This window comes from Homo sapiens, chromosome 7 (genome assembly GCF_000001405.40).
Source record: "Homo sapiens chromosome 7, GRCh38.p14 Primary Assembly".
NCBI lineage: Eukaryota > Metazoa > Chordata > Mammalia > Primates > Hominidae > Homo > Homo sapiens.
This window is the reverse complement of record NC_000007.14, coordinates 150,940,374-150,967,062: the sequence shown is the minus strand read 5'-3', so window position 1 is coordinate 150,967,062 and position 26,689 is coordinate 150,940,374. Positions and strand designations below refer to the sequence as shown.

Here is a 26,689-nt window from a genome sequence, read left to right as displayed (position 1 = left end):
AGGTGATCCGCCCGCCTTGGCCTCCCAAAGTGCTGGATTACAGACATGAGCCACCGCGCCTGGCCTCCCTTTTTCTTCATAAACTTTAGAGAAAGTTTATTGAATTCTTGGAAAGAAAACACCCACTAGATTCTTGATTGGAATTAGTTTGGTTCTATAGATTAATTTGGGGAGAACTGACATCTTTATATTTGTCCCACTCAAGAGCCTGGATTGTCTCTCCATTTACCAGATGAGTTCTGTATTTCTTGCTAGTTTAAGGTTTTGTTCCCTTTTGCCCCGACTCCAACAGGGTTCTTGTGCCTTCTTGGTCAATTCCTGGACACTTAAGAGTTTTTGTTGCTATTGTAAAAGACGTATTGTTTTTGACTATGTTTCCTAATTGCTTGTGTAGAAAAATGCTTTATATTTTTGCGGGCTGATCTTGTATCTTGCAACCTTGCTGAACTCTCTGATCTAATTAGTTCTAATTGTTTATCTGTTGATTTCTTGGGGGTCTCTAGGCAAGTGACCCCGTCATCTGCAAATAATGCCAGTTTTCGCTGTTTATGTTTGGATCACCGTCACATGTTTTGATGCTCGAATGTTCCACCTGACTTTCTGGGGGCTTTTCATTAGCACTCGTATTTGTTTGTTGGTGCTTCACAGTGTCCTGTGTGTGTGTGTGTGTGGGGGGGGGGGAGGGGGCAAATCAATGAGGAATTATAACTCTTGGTTTAAGCTGTGACTCATGGCAGAGCTGGAATTGGGACAGGGCTTTATCAAAGCTTACCAGGCTGTCTGGGGTATGCTAGGAGCCAAGACAGAGCACAGACCTAGAAGCCTACAGGCCACTCACTAGAGGAGACCCCAGAGTGTCCCCTGGTGGACAGTGGCAGCTGTGTGCACCTTCACTGCCCTGTGGCAAGCTGTGTGTGGGGTCACAGTGAAGGGGGGCTGAAGGGGACTGAGGCTCAGAAGTCTCACACCTGGTGCAGTTCCTGCTTTTGCCGCCTTCCCTTGGGTTCCTGGGTGCTCAGCCTCTGTGTTCCATGAAAACTGATGACCAGGTTGAATTTTGCTTCATCAAAAGGCACCTTAATTCCCATGGTTGCTCCATCTGCTGTCCAGACTTGGGCTGGAGGGCACCACGGGCTTGAAATGGGCAAATTCTGCTGTGAAAGGGTGGGCTGTGCCCCTGGATCTGGAAGGGAGCTGAGAGGGTGGGGACATGGCCTGTCCCCACCTGTTATGACTGCAGATCACCACCCCTGAGTCCACCCTCAGTTCTTCTGCAACTGCCAGTCCTGCCCTGGCCTCAGGGCTCTGACTCGGATGGACGGGGAAGCCCGGCCAGTGTACAGTGGCCTTCTAGACGATGGGCATTGTTTGGACAAGTTCTCCAAGAGCAGCGTCCATGTGGGTCAGACGGAGCAGTCAAGGAAACCTTTCTAGAGGGGGTCCTAGAAGGCTGGGGAGGAGTTGGAGGGAAGAGGGGTGGGGGCCATGGGGAGCAGGAGGGAAGGGCTGAAGCTGGGGCGCAACTGCCCGGGACTCACGCGCCTGTGCAGGGAGCTGTGGAGAGCTGCTTCCTGGCATCAGCGTGCCCTTGTTTCACCTTCCCAGGCTTCTCAGCAGGAGGGCAGCGGGTGGGACTTCCAGTTCGTGCACCACCCGAGAGGCAGAGCCGGGCCCCAGAGCTTTAGAGAAGCTAGAGGACAGAGATCTTCTGAGGCATTGCTGTGGTCCGGGGCAGAGATGGCTCAGGCATGCCACATGCAGTGGATTTGGGTGGGTCTAGATGACTACAGCGGCCCCCAAGACCCTATAAATGATCCCATGGATTGCTGGCTGGGTCTCAGGCTGGAAGGGGTGGTGGAGGAGTCTGTCTGGAGATGCTGCTTCTGTGGGGTCAGGGTCTGAGCTTGGGGCCCCTCAACCTGCTGCATTTCCCAGATCCTGGAGGCAGGAGCTTAGGACTGGTCTCTCTCTCATTCAGCACACACACACACACGCGCGCACACACACACTCTCTCCCTGTCTCTGTCTCTCTCCCTCCTTCTCTCTCATTCACTGGTTGGCCTCTTGGGCTCCCTAACTCTGTCCCCTGGGCCTGCAATGTCCCTGGCCTTTCCTAGGCCCCTGGCTGCCCATGAGAGCTGTGTTAGTGACACGGTGGCCCCCTGCCAGGAGCGGCTCCTGCTGCATCTTCCTGTCGCCGCCACCAGGCTAAATATAACCTGACACTGCACAGCCCTGGGCTGCTGCTCCGGAGACAGCCTCTCTGCCTGGGGGCGGACAGGCCGACTGGAGCCCCAGCCTCCTGCCCTCAGCGTGACTTTGGGCCTGTCCTGGGCACAGCTCCTCCTGCTCCGAGCGAGGCAGGGAGGCGACTAGGGCGAGGATGGCTGCCTCCCTGAGGTCACCTTCCCTGCAGGGACCCAGCACCCCGCCTTGTTAGAATTCTGGATGCTTCCACAAAGCCATCTGTCATCTCATCTGGCACCCAGTGCAGGAATCACTTGTCCCCACAGTACCCGCAGGGAGCCTGAAGCCCAGGGAGGTGGGTGACCTGCCCATAGCCACAGAAAATAGAGGGAACGCAGGAGCCACCATGGCTGGGGTAGAGTGGCTCGGCTCCCTGGGGCTCCTCCACCTGTCTGGCTTGTTCCCTCTCCTTCCCTCTTGCCCATGCATCAAACTGGGGTCCTGTTGGATGGGTGGTTCACTGGGGGCAGGTGCCAGGCGTGTCTTGTTGGTCACGGTGGCTCAACACTTCGCAGGCACGGATGTGCTTAGTGATTTGCAGAGGACTGGGAGGAGCTGCCTGGGAAGAAGCTGTGATAGCACCTCATTTACGGAGGAGCGCACGGAGACTCTGACCCCAGAAGGTGCCTAAGGTCACTCAGGGCCATCTGCAGCCTCTTCCTCCCCACCTGGTGCTGACATGGGAGATAAGGCCTGCCCCTGCCACAGCCAAATGTGGCTCCTGCCTGGGGCCTGGCCTAGGCTAGCGGTGCCCAGAGGTGGGGAATTGGGTGGAGCCCCTGACCTCGGATGGGTTGGGATGCTGGGCAGGAACAGTGCCCCCCACCCCAGGTAGACTGCTGGGTGTGGATTGGCACCAAATGAAAGCAAGCCGGCGTTGTGTTCTGAGAAGTGATGGACACCTTCTGTGGTAGCAGGATGGCGCTGTACCTGCCACTCTGGGAATGTGTCCAGGCCTGGCTCTCCCGCTCTGCTCTGAGCTGCATGGCCTCTGGAGGCCTGCTAGGTGGCCAGCCTGCCTGCCTCACCCAGGCCATTGGGCCCAAAGGCACGGGGGTTCTAAGGAGCCATGGAGCCTGTGCAGGGATGGTTGCGTCCATGGGTGCCTCCCCTTTCAGAGGGCCCAGGAAGCAGAACTGGGCCAGGCAGGGAGAACCTTCTCACCCAAAGTAAGGTGTCTTCAGCCAGCGCTGGGGCTGAGGCTGGGGTGGGAGTGGGGTCGGGGCTGGGGCTGGGGTGGGAATGGGGCCAGGGCAGAGTGTTCTGGCATTAGCCACATGAGCCAGGCTGGCCCTGGGGCCTCTCATTGCTAAGCTCCCTCCACCCTTGTCTGCCTCTCTTCTGTCTCAAGCTTATGGTGACCTCAAGCCAGGCTCTGAGCTTCACATATCTTAGGCCATTTCACCCCTACGGCCCTAGGGGGTGGGCAGGATCACCCTGTGTTGCAGATGAGCGCCCCGGGGCTCTGGGCCGGTAAGTGACCGGCCCAAAGTCATTCTAATGCAATGTGCAGAGGCCACCTGACTCCACAGCCCATGCCCCCTCCCTTTGAGACTGGGAACCCTCTCCCCTGTTGCACCCCCTCCGCCCTCCTTGTCTGTCCTGGCTGCCCCCTGAGTGCGCCCAGTGCTGGCTGCCTCGGGAGTGTGGGCTGTGCCTGCCACGGAGTGGCTCTCAGCGGAACTGCAGCCTGCAGCAGCTGGGTCCTTCGTCTCTGCCCTGGGGAGCTGGGGCCACTGGCAGGAGCCAGGGCGAGTCGGTGGGAGAAGGGAGCAGAGCGAGGGCCTGGGGGTCTGGAGTAGGTGGCACTGGGGCAAGTGAAGGGACTCCCATCCCCCCATAACCCAGCCAGTGGTGGGATGGAGTCTGGCTGGGAGGCCTGGCTGAAGAGCTGGGAGCAGGTGATGTGGCAGTTCACCGAAGCCCCAGCCGACGCGGCAGGGTGGTTGCAGGCAGTGCCTCTGAGAGCCCAGGCCTATCTGGGGCCCCTACTTTCCTTCCTTCCACATCCCCTTGATGATCGCTAGATCTCCCCCGCCCCAGCCCCTGCCATCAGGCAGGGCTCCAGTTCACATTTTTTGAATAACCAGGCCTTTGACAGGGTTATTTTGAAAGGAAAAATTTCTTGAATCTCGACAAAGGAAGAGGGCCAGCAGTCACTCCTCTCTCTCTCTCTCTCTCTCTCTCTGTCTCTCGTGTGTGTGTGTAAGTGTGAGTTACAGGCTTGTGCTGTGAGGTGGCGTATACCTAGAGTTTCTGCGACCCTGGCAGGGGATTTTGAGATGTGGGGTCCTGGACTGGGTGGGCTTCAGAATGCCATTCTGGGCTGTCTTGCTGAGCAGCTTGAGCTGAAGAGGGGACGGGCTGCTGAGGTCTCAAGGTTGGAATTTCTGGGGCCCTGTGTTGGGGACAGTCTCCAGCCCATTCTGAAGTTTGAGTCCATCTTGGCTCCAGACTCTAGACTTCTCTGAGGCAAGCTCCCTGGTGGAGGACTTAGGTTCGAGGGCCTGGCTGGCTGTGGTCCCTGGGGTGGGTGCTGGGGTCTCTTGGGCTAAGGCTTCCTGGTCTCCAGCCTCTCCTCAGTCCTGGTGAGGCGCATCCCTGTTCAGGCCGCTGCCGGCCATCACCATATTAGGGCATAAACTCCAGGCAGGCTGTCTGGGTGCCAAATGGTCTCCAGCTGGGCCCAGCCCCCTGCAGCTTCCAACACCACTGCTGTGTGTCAGAGGCCAGAGGTCAGGGGACAAGAGTGGCTGCTGCAGGGAGACCCAGACAGAGCCCCAGAGCTCAGGGCCCTCGGGCGGGGCTGTGAGGGTCTGGGATGTGGTGAGTGGAAGAGCTGTGGGGTGGGGCGGAGAGTTCCTGGCCAGCCCCTTCACCTAGTGCCATCCTGTTTAAGCTGGTTTCAGAAGACCTCGTTCCCCTAGATGAATCCCCAGCGGGTTAGAATCCCCGAGCCTGGCCAGCATCTGCCATGCATCAGGCCCTTCCCACCTGGCCTGCTCCCTGCCTCCCCAGCACGCAGCCCCTTGACCTCACTGTCAGGCTTCAAGCACCAGCTCCAAGTCCCAGGGGTGGCGTCGCCTCCAGGTTGCCGGTGTCTGTTGCCGGCTTCTACCTTGACTCACAGCACCACCACTGTCGCCCCTGCTGTGGGTTTGAGATCAGGAGTAGGGGTGAGCCAGGGAGGCTCTAGGAGGTAGAAAGGTGAGGAGAGGCTGGGTGCGGTGGCTCACACCTGTAATCCTTGCACTTTGGGAGGCCGAGGCAGGCAGATCACTTGAGGCCAGGAGTTTGAGACCAGCCTGGCCAACACAGTGAAAACCCTGTCTCTATCAAAATATACAAAAGTTAGCTGGGTGTGGTAGCATGCAGCTGTAGTCCCAGCTACTTGGGAGGCTGAGGCAGGAGAATCACTTGGACCTGGGAGGCAGAGGTTGCAGTGAGCCAAGATCATGCCGCTGCACTCCACCCTGGGTGACAGAGTGAAACCCTGTCTCAGAAAAAAAAAAAAAAAAAAAGTGAGGCTGGGTTGCTAAGATGGAGTGGGACTGCATGGTTTGTCACCCTTGCCTCTCCCCCATGCCTGCAGCCTCCCTGTCAGCATGGCCTGTCACTGACACCACCAGCCAGTGCTGGCCCCAGGGCGTATGACTCTAGGTGCTAGGCACTAACGTGGGGACGGGAGACACTGGGAGGCAGAGAAGACAGCTGAGCAGAGGGGGAGCTGAGAGGAAGGAAGAGGCTCCCTAGGGAGAGTGGGAGATGAGGAGCCTGCCTGGTGGGTCCCTGGGGGGCCATAGAGGAGCTGGAGCGGGCTGTTAACTGCCTTCTGGTTTCATTAAGGACTTCCTGTGGGCAGGAGGTTCTGAGCTGGGCCTTAGGTGGAACTGAGTGCTTGGCCTAAAAGGGGCTCCTTCAGAAATCAGCACGGGTTGGGGGGCGGGGGGCGGTGGGGCAGCAGGGGGCCCATGTGCTCAACAGGGAGCTGAGGGAGACCAGGGGTGCTTGGCTTAGGGGACTGACCTCATCTGGTACAGGGCCTTTGGTGGACAGAGAGAGACTGGAAAAGAAAAAGTCAAGGATCGAGGGGAACGCGAGGCGAGGTGAAGATGAAAGATCTAGAAGCAGTGCTTCTTAGACTCTTTGGTGAAGGATCAGTGTTTTTTAATGCTAATATGTTATAGGCTGGTACATCTGTGAAATACAAGAGCACATGCGTGGATTTTGTGGTGATGCCAAATTGCTGTAAAGTTTTTGAAATTCTTGCTCTCAACGTCTGTCCTTATCTTGTGTGCTGACACAACGGCTGGTGCTAATCTAGAGAGAACAGAGAGACAGATAGTAACAGCTAACCGTCTGTAGTGTGCGGCATACGCCAGGCATTGCCTAAGCGCTCAGCATGTGCTGACTTGGTTAATCTTTATAACTCATGAGAAAAGAATTATATACATTATGTGTATCACAACATCACTGTGTACCCCATAAATATGTACAATTATTGTGTCAATTAAAAAGTTAAAAAATTTTAAAAAGAAAAAATTATTATTCTTCCCATTTTATAGATGGAAAAAATGAGGCACAAGGATGTTAAATAATTTAGGAAAAAAGCATAAGTGATTAAGCAGCAGATCCGGGCTATGAACCCAGAGATCGTAGGCCTAAAGTCTGTGGGCTTAAGCACTGTGCTACAGCGCCTCGCTTGAGGGAAAGGCAGAGGTGCTGGGAGGATATGAGGAAATGAGATAGGGAGGAAATGAGATCAAAGATGGCAGAAGAAAGGATCATAGCCAGCGTGAGAAAAAGTGCAGCCGGGAAAGAGCTAGATAAATCATATAGGCAGAGAGAGGGGTAGGGGAGCCTGGCAGCAACAAGCTGGGGTAGACAGATTGAGGGGAGCCATAAGGGCGGCAGGCACATGGCCGGGTGGGGGATCAGGACGGGAGATCCCGGAGAGGAAGGGCCATACGGGGAGGCAGAAGTGGACGGGCCCACTTGGGTTCCAGGGTCCATCCTGCGTGGCTTTCTGCTCTGCCCACTGAGTGGGTGCCAAGGGGGCTATGTCCTCCCACTCTGCAGGGAGCTGCTTCCTATGTCTGGTGGATGTGGTGCCCGTGAAGAACGAGGATGGGGCTGTCATCATGTTCATCCTCAATTTCGAGGTGGTGATGGAGAAGGACATGGTGGGGTCCCCGGCTCATGACACCAACCACCGGGGCCCCCCCACCAGCTGGCTGGCCCCAGGTAAGTGTACTTGCTTTAGGGCAGGCTCAGGGGTTCGTGGTCTCATTTCTTTGGGGCTGTGAGCTGTCCAAGGTCAACGCTCTGCAGGAAGGGAGGATGTAATGGTTGGGTGGGGGGTCCCCCCTTTGGAGGTGGGAAGTGAACCCTGTACCCTGAGGATGTGGCTTGGTTCCCCTGGCCCAGGATGGACACATAGGGGTGGAATGACAGGGCCCAGAATCACAGGTCCTTGGCGTGGGCTAGCACCGTTTCCCTAGCTTCATCTGTTGGGCTTCCCATCCCAGCATCCCCTGGGAGCGGTCCTCTCTCCAGCCTGGCTTGAGCAGCCCAGGGTGGGGAACATGACCACCTGGGAGCAGCTCCTCCCCTCAGTAGGAAGCTGTGTCCTATGGACTCAGCTGTGTGTAGTTTCTTTCATCTGCTCCTTGTTCATGGACTGGCCAAGTTTCCTGGGGGTCTGGGCTAGCTGAGGAGAGGCTTTGAGGGAATGCCCACCTGGGCTGGACCATCCCCTTGACAACAAAGGCTCGGAGCCCCTTCCTCTGTCAGGATGCCCTCTTTGGCTTAATTTTAATCTTTCCCTCAGCATCATGACAAAAGTGCTCACCTCTTGGTTTCTTACACTCTAAAATGACAGTGTCAGTAAAACTGGCCCTACCTGCTCATCGGATGCCACCCCTGACGGCAGGGCCCCTGGCATTGTGTCGCCCACTTAGGCGCAGGCCCCACGCACTGGCTGTGTGACCTCCAGAGAGTGACATGACGCCTTTGTGTCCACACTTCCTCATGTCTAAAATGGGGACGCTGGCACCCAGCGGCCGGTGTGAGAGACAGGGATGATTTATGGAATCCGCCCTGAAGTGTCACTTCAGATATGGCGGTTTATGATGACTGGATTCTAGAATGATTTTTGAGACTCGAGGTCAAAATATTGTGAATGGAAGTGGGGATGGGGGGTTGCCCGTTCCCCTCCTTCCCTTACCCAGCGGCTGGGGGTCCATTTCCCAGGCCTTGCCCGCTCCGGGGCTGCTCGCGATCCCCACGACCACGTGCCTCTCCTCTCCCGCAGGCCGCGCCAAGACCTTCCGCCTGAAGCTGCCCGCGCTGCTGGCGCTGACGGCCCGGGAGTCGTCGGTGCGGTCGGGCGGCGCGGGCGGCGCGGGCGCCCCGGGGGCCGTGGTGGTGGACGTGGACCTGACGCCCGCGGCACCCAGCAGCGAGTCGCTGGCCCTGGACGAAGTGACAGCCATGGACAACCACGTGGCAGGGCTCGGGCCCGCGGAGGAGCGGCGTGCGCTGGTGGGTCCCGGCTCTCCGCCCCGCAGCGCGCCCGGCCAGCTCCCATCGCCCCGGGCGCACAGCCTCAACCCCGACGCCTCGGGCTCCAGCTGCAGCCTGGCCCGGACGCGCTCCCGAGAAAGCTGCGCCAGCGTGCGCCGCGCCTCGTCGGCCGACGACATCGAGGCCATGCGCGCCGGGGTGCTGCCCCCGCCACCGCGCCACGCCAGCACCGGTGAGGGCGCCGCGGGACCCGTTCCGCCCCAGCCCACGCTTCTTCTGCTGCCAGGCTTGCTGCATTCTGGGCCCTCGGCTTCTGACCTTTTCACTACGTCCTGGGTGCCTGGGAGATGGAAATCCCATTAAGCACTTATTTAATTCCATTAAGTGGCTTGTTGCGCTATTAAATGTCCATTCATCCCATTACATTCTTCCACTCCCAGAGCCCTGGTGGGCCCCTGGAGCTGGCTGTCCCGGGACGGCCTGGAGCAGGGATGCCCTGGGCAGGAGACGTGCCCAGCCTCCGAACACCACCTGGCCCCCTGCCTGCCAGCGTCCTGGAGCAGACCGTTTCCTCTTCCTCTTCCTGGTCTCAGGGCTGTCTCCTGGCTGCTTCCTTAGAGTGGGACAGGGGTCTGACCTCTCTTGTTTCTTGTGACTCCCCTGGTCTCTTGAGCTGACCCCATGGACTCCTGACTGTGCAGGGCCTGGTCTCCACTCTCGATCTATGGGTGGCCTGCCTGGCCTGGGGCCCTGGGCTGCTGGCCTGACCACGCTGCCTCTCCACCTAGGGGCCATGCACCCACTGCGCAGCGGCTTGCTCAACTCCACCTCGGACTCCGACCTCGTGCGCTACCGCACCATTAGCAAGATTCCCCAAATCACCCTCAACTTTGTGGACCTCAAGGGCGACCCCTTCTTGGCTTCGCCCACCAGTGACCGTGAGATCATAGCACCTAAGATAAAGGAGCGAACCCACAATGTCACTGAGAAGGTCACCCAGGTAGGCGCCCAGCGGCCGGGCTCTCCTCTCACCTTGGAGGAGCTTGGAGAGGGGGTGGGAGTGGGCTGTGATCCAGAGCCGGGTGGAGGGGGCTAGCCAGTGAGGGCCTCTTGGAGGGAGGCAGACCTGAGGGTTGGGGTTGGCAATCTATTCCAGAGCTGCGATGGGGGGAGAGGGGACAGTCTGAGAAGTCCTGGAGAGGGGACTGGAGAGGTCTGGTAAAGGGCTGGGAATGGCAGAGCGGAGGTCGGGTGGATGGGGTGCGTGCCTTCGGGGCACAGGGTGAGGACAGGGCAGTTGAGGCTGGGGACATGACAGGGCCAGTAGCAAGGGGGGAAGGCGGCCTGAGGGACATGAAAGGTCTGGCTGCAGGGTGTGTGAAGGAAGTACTAGGGGCCAAGCCAACTGGGAGGCTTCAAATGAGAAGGGGTCACAGAGGTCAAGGACAGGAGGGTCCTAATTCTTCCAGGCCAAGGTGATGTGCCAGGCAGAGGGTGGGCCTCAGTCCTGTGGGGATGGCCAGGATGGCCTCGAGGGGCCCAACTATGTCCCTAAAGCATGGGAGAAGCAAGTTTTCTTCTCATAGGGAGGTGGTGGGTACAAAGATATGGAAGGGTCAGGTCCCTGAATCCTGGGCCAGAGAAGACCCCTCAGCCTTGGGGGCATTAGCCAGCCTGGTCTTCTGTCCCCTCCTGGGTTTGGGGTCCTCCTGGCAGCAAGAGGACCTGCGACCCCTCCATGGCTTCATCCACCCGACACCTTATCCTAGCCTTTGGGGGCTGGGGGTGGGTGGGTCAGGAGTGCAGATCTCTGCAGTGAGTGAGAAGCCTGGGATAATGTGGAGGACTCCTGTCCCAAGCTGTTCCCTCCTGCCCCTTCCACAGCAGCTGCCTGGGTTGGCTCATGTAAGGGAGCTGCCCTGCTACCTCGGCGGGCTCCTGGCCCTGCTCCCACCGCCTGGCTTTCTGGGTCCCTGCCAGGTCTCCAGCCCACTGGCCTTGACTCCAGAGCATTCCCCCTCACCCCAGGCCCTTATCTGGCCACCTACCCCTCTCTTCCTCCTCCCTTGCTTCTCTCTTGGTTCCCACCTGAGCCCCTGGCATCTGCCCTGCTCCTGTGCCCGCTGCATGTGCCCGTGAGTTGCGGTGGGTCTGTGCATGTGCGCCTGTATGTGTCGGCAGGCGTGTGTGTTCCTGCCAGTCACTAGCAGTCTCTCCATCTCTGGGTGTCTCTGTCTGACTCTGGCTGGCTCAGCACTGGACCGGCTGGGCGGGGGTGTCAGGGAGACCATTAATCTGCGGTGACAGGCCCGGCTGCTGGCGGAGGGGGAGGGGCTCAGGCTGCGGGAGCGCCGCTGCAGGAGCCTGGGCGGGCTGCGGGGGAGGGGGCCGCTGGCTGGGCACCGGCGGGGCGGGGGAGCCTAGTGTGGCGGGGTGGGGGTGGGGACCTGGTAGAAGGAGGGGCCGGCTGGAGGAGCTGAGGTTCCGAGTGCGGCCGCTGCTGGGCTGGCGGGCGGGCAGAGCACGGCACCCTGGCAGCAGGGCCCACGCCACGGGGCCATGGGCAGCTCGAGCCAGGCAGGCTGCTGCCCACGCTTACTGCCAGGGTGACCCCAGCCCTGGGGCCCAGCCACAACCACCCTGGCTTCATGCCAGGGGCTGCTCTGGTTGCCAGTCGGCCAGCCTCGGGGGTGCAGCCTGGGCTGGGACTGCTGCTGGGGTGCAGGTGAGGCAGTGGCCGGGCCCTCAGGCCCCAGGGCAGGCAGGCTGCAGGGAGCCAAGTCCTCCATGGCGGCCCCAGCCGGGAAGGCGAGCAGGACAGGGGCTCTGCGGCCCAGGGCCCAGAAAGGCCGGGTGAGGCGGGCCGTGCGCATCTCCAGCCTCGTGGCCCAGGAGGTAGGTGACACCCGGTCCTTCCTCTTCTTTCTGGGGCCGGCACACTGAGGCAGGTGGCTGGCCCAAGGGCTCTGACTCCAGGCTGGGGAGAGGGCTGCTGGGAAGTAGGAAGCTTTGGGAGCCGTGGGGCCTGGCCCTGCTCACCCGCGCCTGGCTCCTGTTCTCATTCCCTCCCAGGCTGGGCTTACAGAGTTTCCGTTGCTGGGACTTCCCCGCTCCTGTGCCTGCCATGGCCCACAGTCCTGGAGCTCAAAATGCAAAGTGGGGAGATGACAGGAATGAGATGGGTGCCCAGAGAGATGGTGGGGAGGCGGAGTGGGACAAAGGAGCCCATGGGCAGGACCAGGAGAAGCCGGCAGGCGACAGCTGGGCCTGGCATGGAGGCGCCGGGGCTCCTTTGCTCTGTGTGCTGGGGTTGGACCCTGTGGGCAAAGGAGGCTTGTGCTGTTTTGGGGGGTCGAGGAGGCTGGAATGTGCGGAAGCCACTGTGTGGGTGGTGAGGGCGCGCTGGGCTGAGGCACCTGGCTCATCTCTTCATGGGCAGCCGAGGTGTGGTGGCTGGGCCATGCACTACTCTGTGACCTCCTGGGAGCCATCCAGCCGCTCTTCTGTCAGCCTGGGGCAGGCTTGGGCCGACAGTGGAGGAGGAGTGGGAGGTGGCTCAGGGCTAAGTCTGGGAATCCCATCCCTGCCCCCACCACCCCACATCTGCACATTCTGCCTTGGCTCATACACTCTTTCCAGCTGGGGGACAGGTACAGGTAGGTCTTCCCACCCACAGCTGAGGAGTCAGGGTTTGGCTTAAGCAAGCCAGCTTCAGTATTCTATAGGACAACAGGCTGGGGGGACAGACCTGGCCCAAGGCCATAGGTGAGCTGGTGGCTGCAGAGCTGGGACTGGCCCCTGTCAGGTGTGCCCCATGCACGTGTGAGTTTGTACCCTGGGGCAGTGTTGCTCATGCTGTGTGCAGACTCAGGGGTAGGGTCACTGCTGTTAGGGGTGGTCCTGACACCTCCGCCCAGAGGCTTGACCTCTCAGGCACAGAGAAGAGCCCTGTCCAGGGGCAGCTACCTTCTTCTGCCCCCTTATCAGCAGGGGCCTGGCCAGTGTTTTCTTTTTTTTTTTTCAGTCCCCACTTGATCACTGAAGGGCCACCCACCCATGGGCATTTGCTCTCTGCCTTAAGGAGCTGGGCACTTAGACAGCAGACAGAGCAGAAATGGAGCCTGTGAGCCTGTCCATGTGTTCCCTCCCTGCCCTAGGCCTCAGCTGCTCCCGCAGCCCATCTGGTACCGCTGGAGGCCCTGTGTCCACCCCAGGGTGGTCAAATCTTTGACTATGACCCGTCTTGACTTCTAGTTATTTCCTCTAAGGAGATGTTCTCCCAGCAGCGCCATCTGTGAAGGTGTCTTGGGCAAGCCCAGCTTGAGTATGAAGGGGAGTCTTTGGGACTCATCAACTATGGCCTCCCCAACCCAAAAGCCTGAGGGTGTGGGGGCCTGGGAGTCAGTGCTTCTGGGAGCAGGGCCAGCACCTCTGGAATTCATGGGGGCTGGGCAAGGCCTTGGGTTCAGCTGGCTGCCCAGGGATGGCAGGGAGAGCTTGGGGAGGGGGCTTTTGGGTTGAGCTGCATGCCTGAGAGAGGATTCTAGGGAGACCCAGAAGCTTCTGGGACAGTGTGGAGAAGCTGGCCGGAGCTCTTCTTAGTTTGCCTTGGGAGCAAGAGGGACGTGCCTGCTGTCACCGGGTCCGGATGGCCAGCCTGCCTCTGTCTGATGACTGTGGAGGAGGCAGAGTGTGAGTGTGAGCTGGTACAGGGGCTGTGTGTGTCACTGCTGAGCAGTCCCTGTGTGCACGTCCCTCTGTATAAGTTGGGTGCCATCTCCTCCCAGCTGGGCTATGTCTTCTTTGTCCCTTTGTAAGAGGGTGGGAGGATGAGGACTGTGGGCTGTCCCGGACCTGTGTGGAGAGGGGGCTGAGGGAGCGAGGTGTGCGAGTGGAGGGTGGGAGTGTCTTGGTCTTTCTCCATCCTGGTTGCCTGGTGTCCTCGGGCCTGTGGCATGAAGAGGGGCTGGTAAGAACTGCAGTGACTACCAGTCAGTGGATTGGGGCTATGGCTCCTGGGGCCACTGCCCAGGTTGGGAGCTGTTGTCCTTGGAACCCTTTCCGGTCTGAGACTATGGCGTGTGTGGTTGGGTGTGTGGGCCAGCGTCTCAGGGCAGTCACAGTGGCAGGTCTGCATCTGCATTGCCGGCGGGGAGCAGCACTGGGTGTTCCTGCCGAGTGGCCTGAATCCACGTCTGCCGGGAAATGTTGGAACTGTTTGGAGCCAGTCCTGTGCTGTGTGGCATTTTGGGAACCATGATGCCCAAACCTGGGGGTGGCCATTTGCTGTGGTCGCTTGGCTGAGGGGTGGGCATTCTGATGGAAGCTTTTTTTGGCCTCCTCCTCATTCTGCTTGGCCCCGGCAGAGATGTCATCGCTCCTGCCCCCGAGGTCCCATGGCCTGCCTCACCCACACCTCCGCCTTCCCCGGGTGCAGGTCCTGTCCCTGGGCGCCGACGTGCTGCCTGAGTACAAGCTGCAGGCACCGCGCATCCACCGCTGGACCATCCTGCATTACAGCCCCTTCAAGGCCGTGTGGGACTGGCTCATCCTGCTGCTGGTCATCTACACGGCTGTCTTCACACCCTACTCGGCTGCCTTCCTGCTGAAGGAGACGGAAGAAGGCCCGCCTGCTACCGAGTGTGGCTACGCCTGCCAGCCGCTGGCTGTGGTGGACCTCATCGTGGACATCATGTTCATTGTGGACATCCTCATCAACTTCCGCACCACCTACGTCAATGCCAACGAGGAGGTGGTCAGCCACCCCGGCCGCATCGCCGTCCACTACTTCAAGGGCTGGTTCCTCATCGACATGGTGGCCGCCATCCCCTTCGACCTGCTCATCTTCGGCTCTGGCTCTGAGGAGGTGGGGTCAGCAAGGAGGCAGGTGGTGTAGGGAGAGGAGAGGCCAGGAATGTGGTGGGAGGTAGTGGGGTGGAGGGGGTGGCGAGGAGGACAGAGAAAAAGAGAGAGAGAGAGAAAGAGAGAAAGACAGTGGGAGAGAGACATGGTGGCAAGGCAGCTGCAGAGGCAAGGTGGGTACCCCAGCAAACCTATGCTCCTTCTCTCCACACAAGCTCCTCGCAGGTTGCAGAGGGCCACACAGGACACCTTTTTTTCTAATTCGTCCATCCCAAGGGGCCATTATTTTGTAGCGTCACCAAAGTGCCCTAGAAGCTGGTGGGAGTGGGCAGGCACCCTAGGGTGATCACTGCACCTGTCAGTGCCCCTGTTTCCTCATCCACACTATGGGGGCTGCCTCTGTCCCAAAGCTAGCACTAAGATTAATGAGACACCTGTGCTGGGCCCAGTGTGGGCTTCACCTCTTAGGAGGAGGGTCTAGGAAGTCTTTGGGGATCTGACCTCTGATGCTCGCTCTGAGGGCCGCAGCACCTCCCCTCCTCCCTTGCCCCCCTTGCCCCATCAACGGAATGTGCCCCTTCCCTGTCCCCCAGCTGATCGGGCTGCTGAAGACTGCGCGGCTGCTGCGGCTGGTGCGCGTGGCGCGGAAGCTGGATCGCTACTCAGAGTACGGCGCGGCCGTGCTGTTCTTGCTCATGTGCACCTTTGCGCTCATCGCGCACTGGCTAGCCTGCATCTGGTACGCCATCGGCAACATGGAGCAGCCACACATGGACTCACGCATCGGCTGGCTGCACAACCTGGGCGACCAGATAGGCAAACCCTACAACAGCAGCGGCCTGGGCGGCCCCTCCATCAAGGACAAGTATGTGACGGCGCTCTACTTCACCTTCAGCAGCCTCACCAGTGTGGGCTTCGGCAACGTCTCTCCCAACACCAACTCAGAGAAGATCTTCTCCATCTGCGTCATGCTCATTGGCTGTGAGTGTGCCCAGGGGCGGGCGGCGGGGAGAGCCCACGGTGGAGGAACCCAAGTTGGAGGAAACTGAGGCTGCTAGCCGGGCCAGAGTGAGGCCCTGGAACTTAGAGACTCCAGGGGCCACCATCGTGACATGGTTTGGGGGCTGGGTCACCAGGGCGGGGACTACTGAAGGGTGGGGTGTGCTGGAGCGCAGATGTACAAGGGCGTCTCGTGGGCATGTCGACGCTGAGACTGAGACACTGACCTGGTGCGGGGCCTGAGCAGGGTCCCTGTGGGTGGGTGGGGTCCCTGCAGAGGCTGACGGCCCCACGTGCCCACGCCCCCAGCCCTCATGTATGCTAGCATCTTCGGCAACGTGTCGGCCATCATCCAGCGGCTGTACTCGGGCACAGCCCGCTACCACACACAGATGCTGCGGGTGCGGGAGTTCATCCGCTTCCACCAGATCCCCAATCCCCTGCGCCAGCGCCTCGAGGAGTACTTCCAGCACGCCTGGTCCTACACCAACGGCATCGACATGAACGCGGTGAGGCCACCAGAGCGTGGCCAGTGGGTGGCAGGCTGGGAAGAGTGGGGTGGCAGAGGGGAACCTCTTGGCACAGCAAACAAGTCTCAGGCGGTCACAGTCAGTAGTAAGGACCCTGGAGGCACGTTGCCCCTTTTTGCCCATGAGGAAATGGAAGCCCTTGGAACCCCTTCCCTGGAGAGCTCCCCTTTTGGGGTGGGAGGTATATGTCACATAGGCGATGGGGTTAAATCCTTGTGACAGCCCAGGGCGGGAATGGTCTCTATGCCTTACAAATAAGAACATGGAGGTCTAGAGCCCAAGGGTGCTCGGCCAGGCATGGTGAAGCTGGAGTGGGGTCCCAGGTCCTTCCCAAGACACTGGGCCCCCTGATGCTTCCGAGATCTCCCAGGCCTGGAGGTTGAGATTTCTCTGACATGGAGGGGTGGGATGGTGGAGTAGAGTGTGGGTTGGGGGGTCCCAAGGGAGGGTGTGCTGAGCTGCCCCCACCCTGCCCCCAGGTGCTGAAGGGCTTCCCTGAGTGCCTGCAGGCTGACATCTGCCTGCACCTGAACCGCTCACTGCTGCAGCACTGCAAACCCTTCCGAGGGGCCACCAAGGGCTGCCTTCGGGCCCTGGCCATGAAGTTCAAGACCACACATGCACCGCCAGGGGACACACTGGTGCATGCTGGGGACCTGCTCACCGCCCTGTACTTCATCTCCCGGGGCTCCATCGAGATCCTGCGGGGCGACGTCGTCGTGGCCATCCTGGGTATGGGGTGGGGGGCGGGCACTGGACTGGAAATGCCCTCTGCAGCCTCAAGAGGTGCGAGCCTTCTGAATATGCAGTCACTGGGGCTGTGGACCTGGGACTGCCTGCAGGGTCACTGGGCTCCTTTAATTCACCTAAACTCAGGCCCTCCAAGCGGGGCCATGGAGAGGAGCCCCACGTGGGGTGAGGCTGCTGAACTCTGGGGTTCCCACATTCTCCTTCCCTTCAGGATCCGCCACAAACAGACACTTTTTGCTTCCTTAAAGTAGGATCAAATCTAGATCCTCTAGCCTGGGCAGTAGAGGAAGAAATGCTAGCCTGGAAGCTCGGCATTTGGTTTCACTAAGGGCCATGTGGTTCCCTGCAGCCTCATGCCTGGCCCCTTGACACATCCAAAGCAAAGGGAGTCCTGCCCCCTCCCCCCACTTCCTTTCTACCCTGCCTGTGCACAGTGGGTGGGTTGGTGTGTCTGGACACTGAGGACTTCCTCCCCCTTTGCCTGTCCTTCCCTCGGCCCTGTGTGCCTCAGGGCAGATATAGCAAGCTCTTTCGACCATAGTTGATGGTAGGACATTTTAGACTTTGTTTCTCAGCTCTGTACAAACACAAATACACACCCCCACAAAACTAAAATCAAAGTTTCACTACATAACACTGGGCCTTACTGCATGTGGTTCATTCTAGCATTTCTGTTCTGTGCTGTGCTAAGCTATACTACTGTATGTTCTTTCAGTAAAAAAAAAAAAAAAAAAAAAAAAATGCTGGTTTTGATTCACTACTGTGTTCTGATCTTTGGTTTGAAGAACATTGCTTATAAGGGTGCAGTGATTGGCTAAGAGGGTGTTTGGGACCTGGGGTTTGGGGTAGTCCTGCTGGCTGGGTCTCATTTGCTGGGAGACCCTGGGCTCCTGGCCCCTCTGGCACTGTCGTGCCTGCTGGGAGCTGAGGGAGGGTGGGCTGGCAGATTGCTTCCCCGGTTGTGTGGGTTGGGGGCCGGCTGGCAGGCGACCCAGCTGAGGGGACATGCTCTGCCCGGGGTGGGGATGCCGGGAGAAGGTGCCTGCTGCCTGGATGCCGCCCCCCGGGGCTGAGCTCCCTGTCCTCTCCATGGCCTCCAGGGAAGAATGACATCTTTGGGGAGCCTCTGAACCTGTATGCAAGGCCTGGCAAGTCGAACGGGGATGTGCGGGCCCTCACCTACTGTGACCTACACAAGATCCATCGGGACGACCTGCTGGAGGTGCTGGACATGTACCCTGAGTTCTCCGACCACTTCTGGTCCAGCCTGGAGATCACCTTCAACCTGCGAGATGTGAGTTGGCTGCCCTGAGCTGGACCCCATCCTCCTGCTTCCAGCTGTGTGGCTGCCCCTTTGCTGTGTGACATTGAATGTGATGCTTCTCTGTCTCAGTTTCCCTGTCTGTCAAATGGTATCATAGAGCAGCCTACAAAAGTCCCAAACTCAGTCTTTGCCTGGGGCAAAATCACATTGGGGGCAGGGAAGGGTTTTCCCAGAGCTGGGGCGCCCAGCCCTACTTTTTCTGTGTTAAGGAGGGAGCTTGGGGCCTGACCCCGGTGGGGCAGGAGAGCACTGAAAGGGCCCTGATACTGATTTTGGTTCCAGACCAACATGATCCCGGGCTCCCCCGGCAGTACGGAGTTAGAGGGTGGCTTCAGTCGGCAACGCAAGCGCAAGTTGTCCTTCCGCAGGCGCACGGACAAGGGTGAGGCGGGGGAGGGGAGGAAGGGGGAGGGCGGGGACAAGGTGAGGCTGGGAGCTGGAAGGCGGGGTGGGCCGTGTCTGCTTTACCCAGGCCTCAGACCTTCCCATCCCTTCCTCCAGTGTGCCCACTCCACACCCCAGCTGTCCAGATGCTGCCCATCTTTCAGGGCCCCTGCAGCTGTCACCTCCTCCAGGAAGCCCTCTTCCACCCTCCAGGGCAAGCCTAGGCTTTTTGGACTTCACAGGGCTGGGGTCTCTGTGAGCACTGAGGAGGAAAGAACATAGAACAAAGGAGGGCCAGGGAGCCAACGATGGGGCTGAGGCCCCGCAGTCCCAGAGATCCGCCAACCCCTGAAGCACCATTGCCAGTGCTTGGGCAGTCAGGGGGTCCTGGGAGTTCTTGGTCGGCTTGACAGTGGGTGCAAGATAGCAGAAGAAGCGACTGGGGACAAACCAGGGCTTCCTGCCCAGTCCTCTCTCGGGCTCGCTCCTGTCCCCTCCTCCACCCTCGCCCCCTCCTCTCTGTTCTCCTCCCCTCTCTGAGGCCCATTCTCTGTTTCCCACAGACACGGAGCAGCCAGGGGAGGTGTCGGCCTTGGGGCCGGGCCGGGCGGGGGCAGGGCCGAGTAGCCGGGGCCGGCCGGGGGGGCCGTGGGGGGAGAGCCCGTCCAGTGGCCCCTCCAGCCCTGAGAGCAGTGAGGATGAGGGCCCAGGCCGCAGCTCCAGCCCCCTCCGCCTGGTGCCCTTCTCCAGCCCCAGGCCCCCCGGAGAGCCGCCGGGTGGGGAGCCCCTGATGGAGGACTGCGAGAAGAGCAGCGACACTTGCAACCCCCTGTCAGGTATCCCGGGCGACGGGCGGGCGAGGGAGGACCGGGCGTGGCAGCGGTGGTGCGTCTACCCCGCTCACCCAGCTCTGCTCTCTGGCTGCAGGCGCCTTCTCAGGAGTGTCCAACATTTTCAGCTTCTGGGGGGACAGTCGGGGCCGCCAGTACCAGGAGCTCCCTCGATGCCCCGCCCCCACCCCCAGCCTCCTCAACATCCCCCTCTCCAGCCCGGGTCGGCGGCCCCGGGGCGACGTGGAGAGCAGGCTGGATGCCCTCCAGCGCCAGCTCAACAGGTGAGGGAGTGCAGGTGGGGTGGGGGGGCACGCCCTGGAGTCTGGTCCAGGTCCTGGCGGTGTTGTCTGGTAGAGGGAGAGGGCCTGTCTGTGTGTGCAGCAGCTGGATCCCCTTCTTCCATTCCTAGCCCAGCTGGGGGCTGCCACACCTCTAGCGCGGAGGGCCTGGGTTGACAGGCTGCCCCTCCCCCCTCCCCTTCCCCTTCCCCACTCCCGGTGGAGGCTGTCACTGGTGTCCCCACTTCTCTGAGCATCCCCCACTTCCTGCCCCAGGCTGGAGACCCGGCTGAGTGCAGACATGGCCACTGTCCTGCAGCTGCTACAGAGGCAGATGACGCTGGTCCCGCCCGCCTACAGTGCTGTGACCACCCCGGGGCCTGGCCCCACTTCCACATCCCCGCTGTTGCCCGTCAGCCCCCTCCCCACCCTCACCTTGGACTCGCTTTCTCAGGTAAGCTCCAGCCCTGCTTCCTCGATGTACCGTGACCCGCTTGTTCCCCGATTCCAGCCCAAACCTGCTTTGCTGCCTTTCTGCTGGGCTCTGTGGCCCAGCCTCCCTGAACCTTGTTCCTGCCCTCCTCCCACCCCTGTCCTCCTGGAGGAAGGCTGCTTCAGGAGCTGCAGGCTCAGGGTAGGGCAGGAGAGTCCCCCGTCCAAAGCCCCTAGACAGCTGGGTGCAGGGAACCTGTAGGCTAAGTGGCCCGCAGCTTCACTCCCCTAGTGTCCACAGCCTCCACCGCCAGGCCCCGGAGCATCGCCTGAAGAGCCAGCTCCAACGGTGGTGCCTGTCTCACGGCCACGGGTGGTCTCCAAGAACTGACTGAGCCCGAGACGTGGCGGTGGAGGCTGCATACCAGAGTATCTAGGGACAGGGTCCCGGGTCCCTTCTGTGAGTGACACTCCCTGGTCTCACCGTCCTGCCCATCCTTGCCCTTGGCAGTGGCTGTCACAGGGTCATCTTGAGGGTGCTTGGCATTTCCCAGGGTGCAGAGGCCAAGCCTCCAGGGGAGGACTTCCTGGGCCTGCTTTGCCCCCTCTGCTAGAGATGGGCCTTAGTTGCCCCTTGTCCTCTCCTGGGTGGACCTGCATGTTCCTGGCCTCTGCAGGATGGCGGTGTCTGTGTCAACCTCCGCGTCCATGGTGGGGACTCCTCTGGCTGCCAGAGGCGGCCTGGGATCTGCTCCCTCCCCACTTCCCTTGGCATCCGCTCCCCCCTCCCATATGCTGCCTGCTCCTGTTTGCAGACACGAGGGCCCACGTCAGCAAATGTGCCAGTCTCCCTTCGCAGCCGCCCCCGCAGAGCTCTCACCAGCAGACGCTCAGTACCCACAAACCCCTCCCGCCTGCCCCGGCCCTCTCCCTGGCCTTCAGATGCCTGGCCGCCAGCCTGCCTCTGTTTCTAGGTCCCCGAGTTCTTTCTGGATTGCGGGAAGGAATCTTGTCTCTTTTTCTGTCCCAGCTTCTGTCCCAACACAGAGACTGCTTGTTCCAGGTTGGGTTGGGCTCAGCGGCCACATTCCCTCGGGAAGAGACAGGGGCCTAGGGTTTTCCCTGCTCCCAGCTCTCTTGTTTGGCTCCTGCTCTCAGAGAATGCCTTTCTCTACTTCCCACCTTGGTGCCTCCCCTTGGTGGCCCCTGTCCTGCTCTCGCTGCCTTGGCTCTTGTCCCCTCCAGCTTCTCTGCCCACCTGACTCTCCTCTTGGCCCTCCTGTCCTCCCGTCCATCCTCTGTCCCCGGGTTCTCCTGCCCCTTTCCCTCCCCTTCCTCCTCCTCCATGGCCTCTTCGCCTGCCCATGCTCTGTGTGTATTGCAGGTTTCCCAGTTCATGGCGTGTGAGGAGCTGCCCCCGGGGGCCCCAGAGCTTCCCCAAGAAGGCCCCACACGACGCCTCTCCCTACCGGGCCAGCTGGGGGCCCTCACCTCCCAGCCCCTGCACAGACACGGCTCGGACCCGGGCAGTTAGTGGGGCTGCCCAGTGTGGACACGTGGCTCACCCAGGGATCAAGGCGCTGCTGGGCCGCTCCCCTTGGAGGCCCTGCTCAGGAGGCCCTGACCGTGGAAGGGGAGAGGAACTCGAAAGCACAGCTCCTCCCCCAGCCCTTGGGACCATCTTCTCCTGCAGTCCCCTGGGCCCCAGTGAGAGGGGCAGGGGCAGGGCCGGCAGTAGGTGGGGCCTGTGGTCCCCCCACTGCCCTGAGGGCATTAGCTGGTCTAACTGCCCGGAGGCACCCGGCCCTGGGCCTTAGGCACCTCAAGGACTTTTCTGCTATTTACTGCTCTTATTGTTAAGGATAATAATTAAGGATCATATGAATAATTAATGAAGATGCTGATGACTATGAATAATAAATAATTATCCTGAGGAGACTCCAGTGGTGCTGGGAGGGTGTAACTGTTACTTGCTGTGTCCTGTGTTCCTGTCTGGACATGCATAGGTGTGCCTGCACAGGAATCCGGGTCTGTCTGCATGCCCAGGCCCACAGGGCTGCCCCTGTATCCAGGTCTGGGTGTGTGCAGTGGGGGTGCTCCCTGGGGGCTGACACAGGTCATCTCCAGGGAGACAGAATCTTGTCTCTGTAGGGCCCTGGATTCAAGATAACAAAAAACCCCCTGAACCACATGCATTTAGAGGCAGTCCTGATGGGACACTGACCTGGTGTCTAGCCCCTGAGGGCCATGTGCCTCTGCTGGGTGGGGCACCCTGGCTCCCACAGCTTGGCTTCACACTGACTGTGGAAGCAGCCCTGCACTTGTCTCCCTCACCCAGTTCCTGAGCCTGCGTTGACCCTAACCTGAAATTGGTCTGAGTCCTGGCTCCCCCTGCCACCCACAACTTAGCCTTATCTTATCCAATACAATTGGGCCCCGGACACACTGGTGACTCCAGCCCTGACCAGAGCTCACCTGGTGTCTGGCTGCAGATGGACCTCACTTGTATCACCTTGGTCCCCTGTGATCCTGGATCTCAAGAGGAGCTTCCTGAAGAGGGTGCAACCTTCAGGGTGACTCATTCCCATGACCGGGGAGCAAGGCAAGGCAGATGTCTTGGGGACAGTGAAGGGTGTGTGTGCAAGTGCCTGCGTGTGCCTGTGTGTGTGTACATGTGTGTGCATGTGCTGCTGGGCTTGTAAGGACATGCAGCCCCCAGAGGAATGTGGTGCAATGACTGAGGCTGGTGTGGAGAGCCAATGGGTGGCGGGCAGGCTGTGCCCAGCTGGGTGGGTTTGCAGGCAGGGAGCTGCCAAAGGCCTCCAGAGACAGAGCAGCTTCTCACTGAGTCTTTGAAACCTCTGACCCTCGGAGGTGGGTTTGTTGACTGTTTTATTTTATTAATTTTTTTTTGAGATGGAGTCCCGCTCTGTCACCCAGGCTAGAGTGCAGTGGCACAATCTCAACTCCTTGCAAGCTCCGCCTCCTGGGTTCAGGCCATTCTCCTGCCTCAGCCTCCCGAGTAGCTGGGACTACAGGCACCCACCGCCACGCTCAGCTAATTTTTTGTATTTTTAGTAGAGACAGGGTTTCACTGTGTTAGCCAGGATGGTCTTGATCTCCTGACCTCATGATCCGCCCGCCTCAGCCTCCCAAAGTACTGGGATTACAGGTGTGAGCCACCGCGCCTGGCTGTTGACTGTTTTAAAGACAACTGTGCCGTTCTCACTGCCCATGCCTGGGTGGGGCGGGTGTTGGTCTCTGAGCAGCCTGGAAGGTTCCCTGTGCCCAGAGCAGGGAGGAGAGAAGGAAGGGATCTCCCCCTTTCCAGGGCCTGGGAGAGACAGGGAGAAGGAAGAGATCCACAGGTCAGAGGGGGAGAGGGGTGACAGAGAGGGATGCCAGGCAGAAAAGACAGGTTTGTGCATCAGGATCTGTCCCACACATGTACACACATGCACATGTGAGTGTGAGCTTGCTTCTGCTCATGGTTTAAAAGTTTAACACAGGCCTTCCTGGTTGGTTGATGTGACTGTCACTGCAGGTGGGGGCCTAGCTGGGGTGGCCTAGATTTGGTGTCAGTGGGGCATGGCTCTGCTTATGGACTCTGGAGCCCAGGGCAGGAGACAGACCCAGGCAGTGGCTTATGGGGAGCAGTGAAGGTACACACGAAACTCAATGCTCTTCGCATGCTGGGCTGTGAGCTGAGCCAACTCCCCGCTCCCTGGTGCTGTTTCATCCTTGTCATGGTCTGCCCTTGTCCTTAGAGTGCCTTCATCTTGGGAGTCTGCCTGATGCCCACCACTCCGTGTCCAGCAGCCGGGCTGGGTGTTGGTGGACACAGAGAGGAGAGGAAGAAAGGGCCTTTGCCCCCCTCCTGGCTTTGTAGCAGAGGTGCCACCGGTTATTTCTTTGTGGCACCATGCCAGCACCACGGTTAGCTATCTTCCCCTAGGTGAGGGCCCTGCCTGGGCGGTGGAGGTCTGGCGTGGATTTTGGTGCTCCTGAGGAGTGGATGCATGTGTGTGAGTGAGTGTGCATGTGTCTGTGCTCAGGATGGGGTCTGGGCCCAGCAGAAGGCAACCTGTCCATGCTGGTCCTCGATAGAAATACACAGGTGTCCCGGAGTCAGTTCAGTCTGGATGGGTCAGGCTGCCCAGATGCCCCTTGCCAAGTCCCTTCCAGGACTCCCCTGCCAAGGCTGGAGAGTGGGTGAGGGGCAGTCACAGTGGCTGCGTTTGCCAGGTGGTCCCTGGGTCCGGTATGCAGCTGGGTGCTCTGCCCTTGTGTCCTGAATCCCTACCCCAGCGGAGGGCATGTTAGCATCCACATGAGGACAGTCAGTTTCTGGCTGGTCCAGTGACTGGCTGGAGGTCACATCCCTAGTTGGTGGCAGGTGCGTCAGACTTCAGGTTCTCCCCACCCATCCTCCCGCCTGCACTGCCCAGCCACAGGCAGGCCTGCTCCTTGGCTCCTCCCCTCATCTGGGCTCCCAGAGCGACAGGAAGTTTGGTGGTGAGGACAAGGGCAAGCCGTGGTGGTGCAGTCCCTCCCCTCCCGCAGGGCTGGGCACCTGGCTGTTAAGGGCCTGTCATCCAGAGCTGAGGGTTTTCCCCAACCAAGAGAGCCAGAGGGTGGGACGGGAGCTGGAGGGAGCTGTGGCAAGAGAGGAAGGGATCCATGTGGTTGTCAACACGTGGCAGAAGCCTGGCGCAGGGCCCCAAGCTGGAGTCTGGTCAGGGGCTGGGAGCAGGAACAGAAGCAGGAGGGCAGCGTGGCCTGTCTCGCCTCCACCTCCATCCCCAGGCGTGGAGGGATGCCCAGCCTGCCTATCCACGTGCAAGCTGGTCTCCAGCACCTGTCCTTACCTAAGATCTCATCCCCACTCAGCCGGGTGGTGGCAGCTCTCACATTTCACTGACAAATAACAGCAATGGATAGTTCCTGAGCACGCCCTTTGCGGCAAGCATTATTCCAGCCACCTGAAACCAAAGCCCCAGAGGCTGAGTGACTTGCCCGAGCATACCCCACTCCTGAGAGTGGAGCTGGAAGGTGAGCCCAGGTGGTCTGAGTCACATGCCTGCTGGTCCTGAAGGGACAGGTGGACTTCTCCCCCTTGCCTGCAGGGCAAGGCCCTCTGTGCCAGTTTTGCACAGAGGTTCTCATCTTTCTTTCCAGACTCACCTGCCCTCTCCCCTCCCTGCCATGTGGGTCATGCTGCAGCCACGCGAGCTTCCGTCCTGTTCACCATGTTCTTGCATCTGCCCTGTCTTGCTCTCTTCTTGTGACGCAGACTCCCTCATCCTTGGTGTGGAAAGACCCTTCTGTCTTCCCAGCCCTAGCATGGACGTCGCCGCTCCTGAGGCCTTCTGCAGGTTTCTCAGCCGGTTGTGGCACTCGCTGGCACCTGTGTTAGGGGCTCCCCACACCCTGCCTGCTTGCTCGTCTGTCCTCCGTAAAGGGGAAGGGCTGAATGCTGGTCATCTTTTCGCCTATTCCCACCCAGCATCTAGCACAGTGCCCAGGACCTGATGTGGCCACTAGGCAGCCCACAAGACCCCATGTTTGAGGATTTTGCACAGAAAAGGGAGATGTCTTCCTGACAGAGTTGGCTGGGCTAAAATTTGCGTCTGTCCCTGGAGGTCACTTTCTTCCCAAAGGCTTGGCCTCTGGATTATGGCTGCCTCCCCGCCTGCCTCCCCGCCTGCCTCCCCAGGGAGCACAAGCCCCACTCCTTCACTGGCAATGTGGCTACACATGCTTATCTTTTTTTTTCTTTTTACTTTAGCACAACCAAGGTAAATATTAAATATTTGAAAGAGAATAACGGGAGCAGTGGGGAGGATAAACCAGAGACTTGGACCGAGAGCCTCAAGTCCATTCATTTTGTAGATTGAATGTTGGGGCCTGTCCATGGCTGCCCCAGTCTGCGGGCTTGTGGGCCCCACCCTGTTCCCATGCTCTGGAATGCCTCTGAGGTGGAACTGGGGATACTTTTTTGCAGGGGGGTTTGCTCCCAGTTTCCAGTTTCCAGGTGGCCTCTGAGTGGAGGGCTCCAGCTCACCGTCCTCTGGGTGGTTGTTCATTTGTCCTTCGATGGTCAAGGCTGAGGGAGGTTACACCGGGGGCTTTGCAGTTCCAGATTCGGGTCTGTGGGATCTACCTTTTCCCCTGGTGGTGGACAGTCTTCCGGAAACTGAAACCTGATTGAACTTGCTTTTCAGTGAGAGCTTACACTGCTGTAGGAAGAGGTATTTCTTTGTAGGAGTCCTGGCAGCTTGACAACACAAGGACCATAAGAGGACACATGTGGTGTGTTAGTGTCTCTCAAGTGCTCAACGATGTTGAAATAAACGGAAAACGCAGGGCCTTCCAAAGTGACTGTTTTGAGGCATTTTTAGATAATTGTATATCATTAAAGAGTGGTTAGTGTGAAAATTGATTTAGTAAAAGATTAAATAGTAACTATTTTCTTAAAGCTGCATATATGCCTGGTATTAAGCGATAAAAACTCAATTTAAGGCT

The 26,689-nt window shown here is 59.5% G+C and overlaps 1 protein-coding gene across 15 annotated transcripts in view, besides 12 other annotated features; it reads left to right on the top strand.

Moving 5' to 3' along the window:
• The window catches only part of KCNH2 (potassium voltage-gated channel subfamily H member 2), a 33,361-nt gene extending 11,259 nt beyond the window's left edge, over positions 1-22,102 (top strand). For 4 of the 15 annotated variants that reach the window (NM_000238.4, XM_047420348.1, XM_017012196.2 and 1 more), the window contains 13 exons: positions 7,327-7,491; positions 8,561-9,004; positions 9,561-9,772; positions 14,210-14,638; positions 15,228-15,615; positions 15,943-16,142; positions 16,643-16,895; positions 18,014-18,207; positions 18,520-18,619; positions 19,185-19,457; positions 19,549-19,735; positions 20,009-20,186; positions 21,549-22,102. In NM_000238.4, coding sequence (NP_000229.1) covers positions 7,327-7,491; positions 8,561-9,004; positions 9,561-9,772; positions 14,210-14,638; positions 15,228-15,615; positions 15,943-16,142; positions 16,643-16,895; positions 18,014-18,207; positions 18,520-18,619; positions 19,185-19,457; positions 19,549-19,735; positions 20,009-20,186; positions 21,549-21,698 — 3,173 coding nt within the window. In that variant the 3' untranslated portion in view covers positions 21,699-22,102. Of the gene's footprint in view, positions 1-4,284; positions 5,074-7,006; positions 7,492-8,560; positions 9,005-9,560; positions 9,773-11,258; positions 11,668-14,209; positions 14,639-15,227; positions 15,616-15,942; positions 16,143-16,642; positions 17,655-18,013; positions 18,208-18,519; positions 18,620-19,184; positions 19,458-19,548; positions 19,736-20,008; positions 20,187-21,548 lie in introns of those variants that run through there. The other 11 variants (NM_172056.3, NM_001406755.1, NM_001406757.1 and 8 more) reach the window with 9 other exon arrangements.
• Positions 719-4,165: an enhancer, noted in NCBI's record as "VISTA enhancer hs2192". NCBI's record gives its function as "enhancer in: heart[5/5]" and the evidence as "EXISTENCE:transgenic organism evidence [ECO:0001131][PMID:17130149]".
• Positions 719-4,550: a biological region, named in NCBI's record as "VISTA enhancer hs2192".
• Positions 2,109-2,718: an enhancer, noted in NCBI's record as "H3K27ac-H3K4me1 hESC enhancer chr7:150661433-150662042 (GRCh37/hg19 assembly coordinates)". NCBI's record gives its function as "activates a minimal SCP1, AML or CMV promoter by ChIP-STARR-seq in primed H9 embryonic stem cells {active_cell/tissue: H9 hESC(primed)}" and the evidence as "EXISTENCE:reporter gene assay evidence [ECO:0000049][PMID:30033119]".
• Positions 2,775-2,946: a silencer, noted in NCBI's record as "fragment chr7:150661205-150661376 (GRCh37/hg19 assembly coordinates)". NCBI's record gives its function as "represses an EF-1alpha promoter that drives an FKBP-Casp9 reporter gene in an ReSE screen in K562 erythroleukemia cells {active_cell/tissue: K562}" and the evidence as "EXISTENCE:reporter gene assay evidence [ECO:0000049][PMID:32094911]".
• Positions 3,331-3,940: an enhancer, noted in NCBI's record as "H3K27ac-H3K4me1 hESC enhancer chr7:150660211-150660820 (GRCh37/hg19 assembly coordinates)". NCBI's record gives its function as "activates a minimal SCP1, AML or CMV promoter by ChIP-STARR-seq in naive H9 embryonic stem cells {active_cell/tissue: H9 hESC(naive)}" and the evidence as "EXISTENCE:reporter gene assay evidence [ECO:0000049][PMID:30033119]".
• Positions 3,941-4,550: an enhancer, noted in NCBI's record as "H3K4me1 hESC enhancer chr7:150659601-150660210 (GRCh37/hg19 assembly coordinates)". NCBI's record gives its function as "activates a minimal SCP1, AML or CMV promoter by ChIP-STARR-seq in naive and primed H9 embryonic stem cells {active_cell/tissue: H9 hESC(naive and primed)}" and the evidence as "EXISTENCE:reporter gene assay evidence [ECO:0000049][PMID:30033119]".
• Positions 4,551-5,160: an enhancer, noted in NCBI's record as "H3K4me1 hESC enhancer chr7:150658991-150659600 (GRCh37/hg19 assembly coordinates)". NCBI's record gives its function as "activates a minimal SCP1, AML or CMV promoter by ChIP-STARR-seq in naive and primed H9 embryonic stem cells {active_cell/tissue: H9 hESC(naive and primed)}" and the evidence as "EXISTENCE:reporter gene assay evidence [ECO:0000049][PMID:30033119]".
• Positions 8,819-9,320: an enhancer, noted in NCBI's record as "H3K4me1 hESC enhancer chr7:150654831-150655332 (GRCh37/hg19 assembly coordinates)". NCBI's record gives its function as "activates a minimal SCP1, AML or CMV promoter by ChIP-STARR-seq in primed H9 embryonic stem cells {active_cell/tissue: H9 hESC(primed)}" and the evidence as "EXISTENCE:reporter gene assay evidence [ECO:0000049][PMID:30033119]".
• Positions 12,125-12,723: an enhancer, noted in NCBI's record as "H3K4me1 hESC enhancer chr7:150651428-150652026 (GRCh37/hg19 assembly coordinates)". NCBI's record gives its function as "activates a minimal SCP1, AML or CMV promoter by ChIP-STARR-seq in primed H9 embryonic stem cells {active_cell/tissue: H9 hESC(primed)}" and the evidence as "EXISTENCE:reporter gene assay evidence [ECO:0000049][PMID:30033119]".
• Positions 17,438-18,178: an enhancer, noted in NCBI's record as "H3K4me1 hESC enhancer chr7:150645973-150646713 (GRCh37/hg19 assembly coordinates)". NCBI's record gives its function as "activates a minimal SCP1, AML or CMV promoter by ChIP-STARR-seq in naive H9 embryonic stem cells {active_cell/tissue: H9 hESC(naive)}" and the evidence as "EXISTENCE:reporter gene assay evidence [ECO:0000049][PMID:30033119]".
• Positions 20,407-21,148: an enhancer, noted in NCBI's record as "H3K4me1 hESC enhancer chr7:150643003-150643744 (GRCh37/hg19 assembly coordinates)". NCBI's record gives its function as "activates a minimal SCP1, AML or CMV promoter by ChIP-STARR-seq in naive H9 embryonic stem cells {active_cell/tissue: H9 hESC(naive)}" and the evidence as "EXISTENCE:reporter gene assay evidence [ECO:0000049][PMID:30033119]".
• Positions 21,149-21,891: an enhancer, noted in NCBI's record as "H3K27ac-H3K4me1 hESC enhancer chr7:150642260-150643002 (GRCh37/hg19 assembly coordinates)". NCBI's record gives its function as "activates a minimal SCP1, AML or CMV promoter by ChIP-STARR-seq in naive H9 embryonic stem cells {active_cell/tissue: H9 hESC(naive)}" and the evidence as "EXISTENCE:reporter gene assay evidence [ECO:0000049][PMID:30033119]".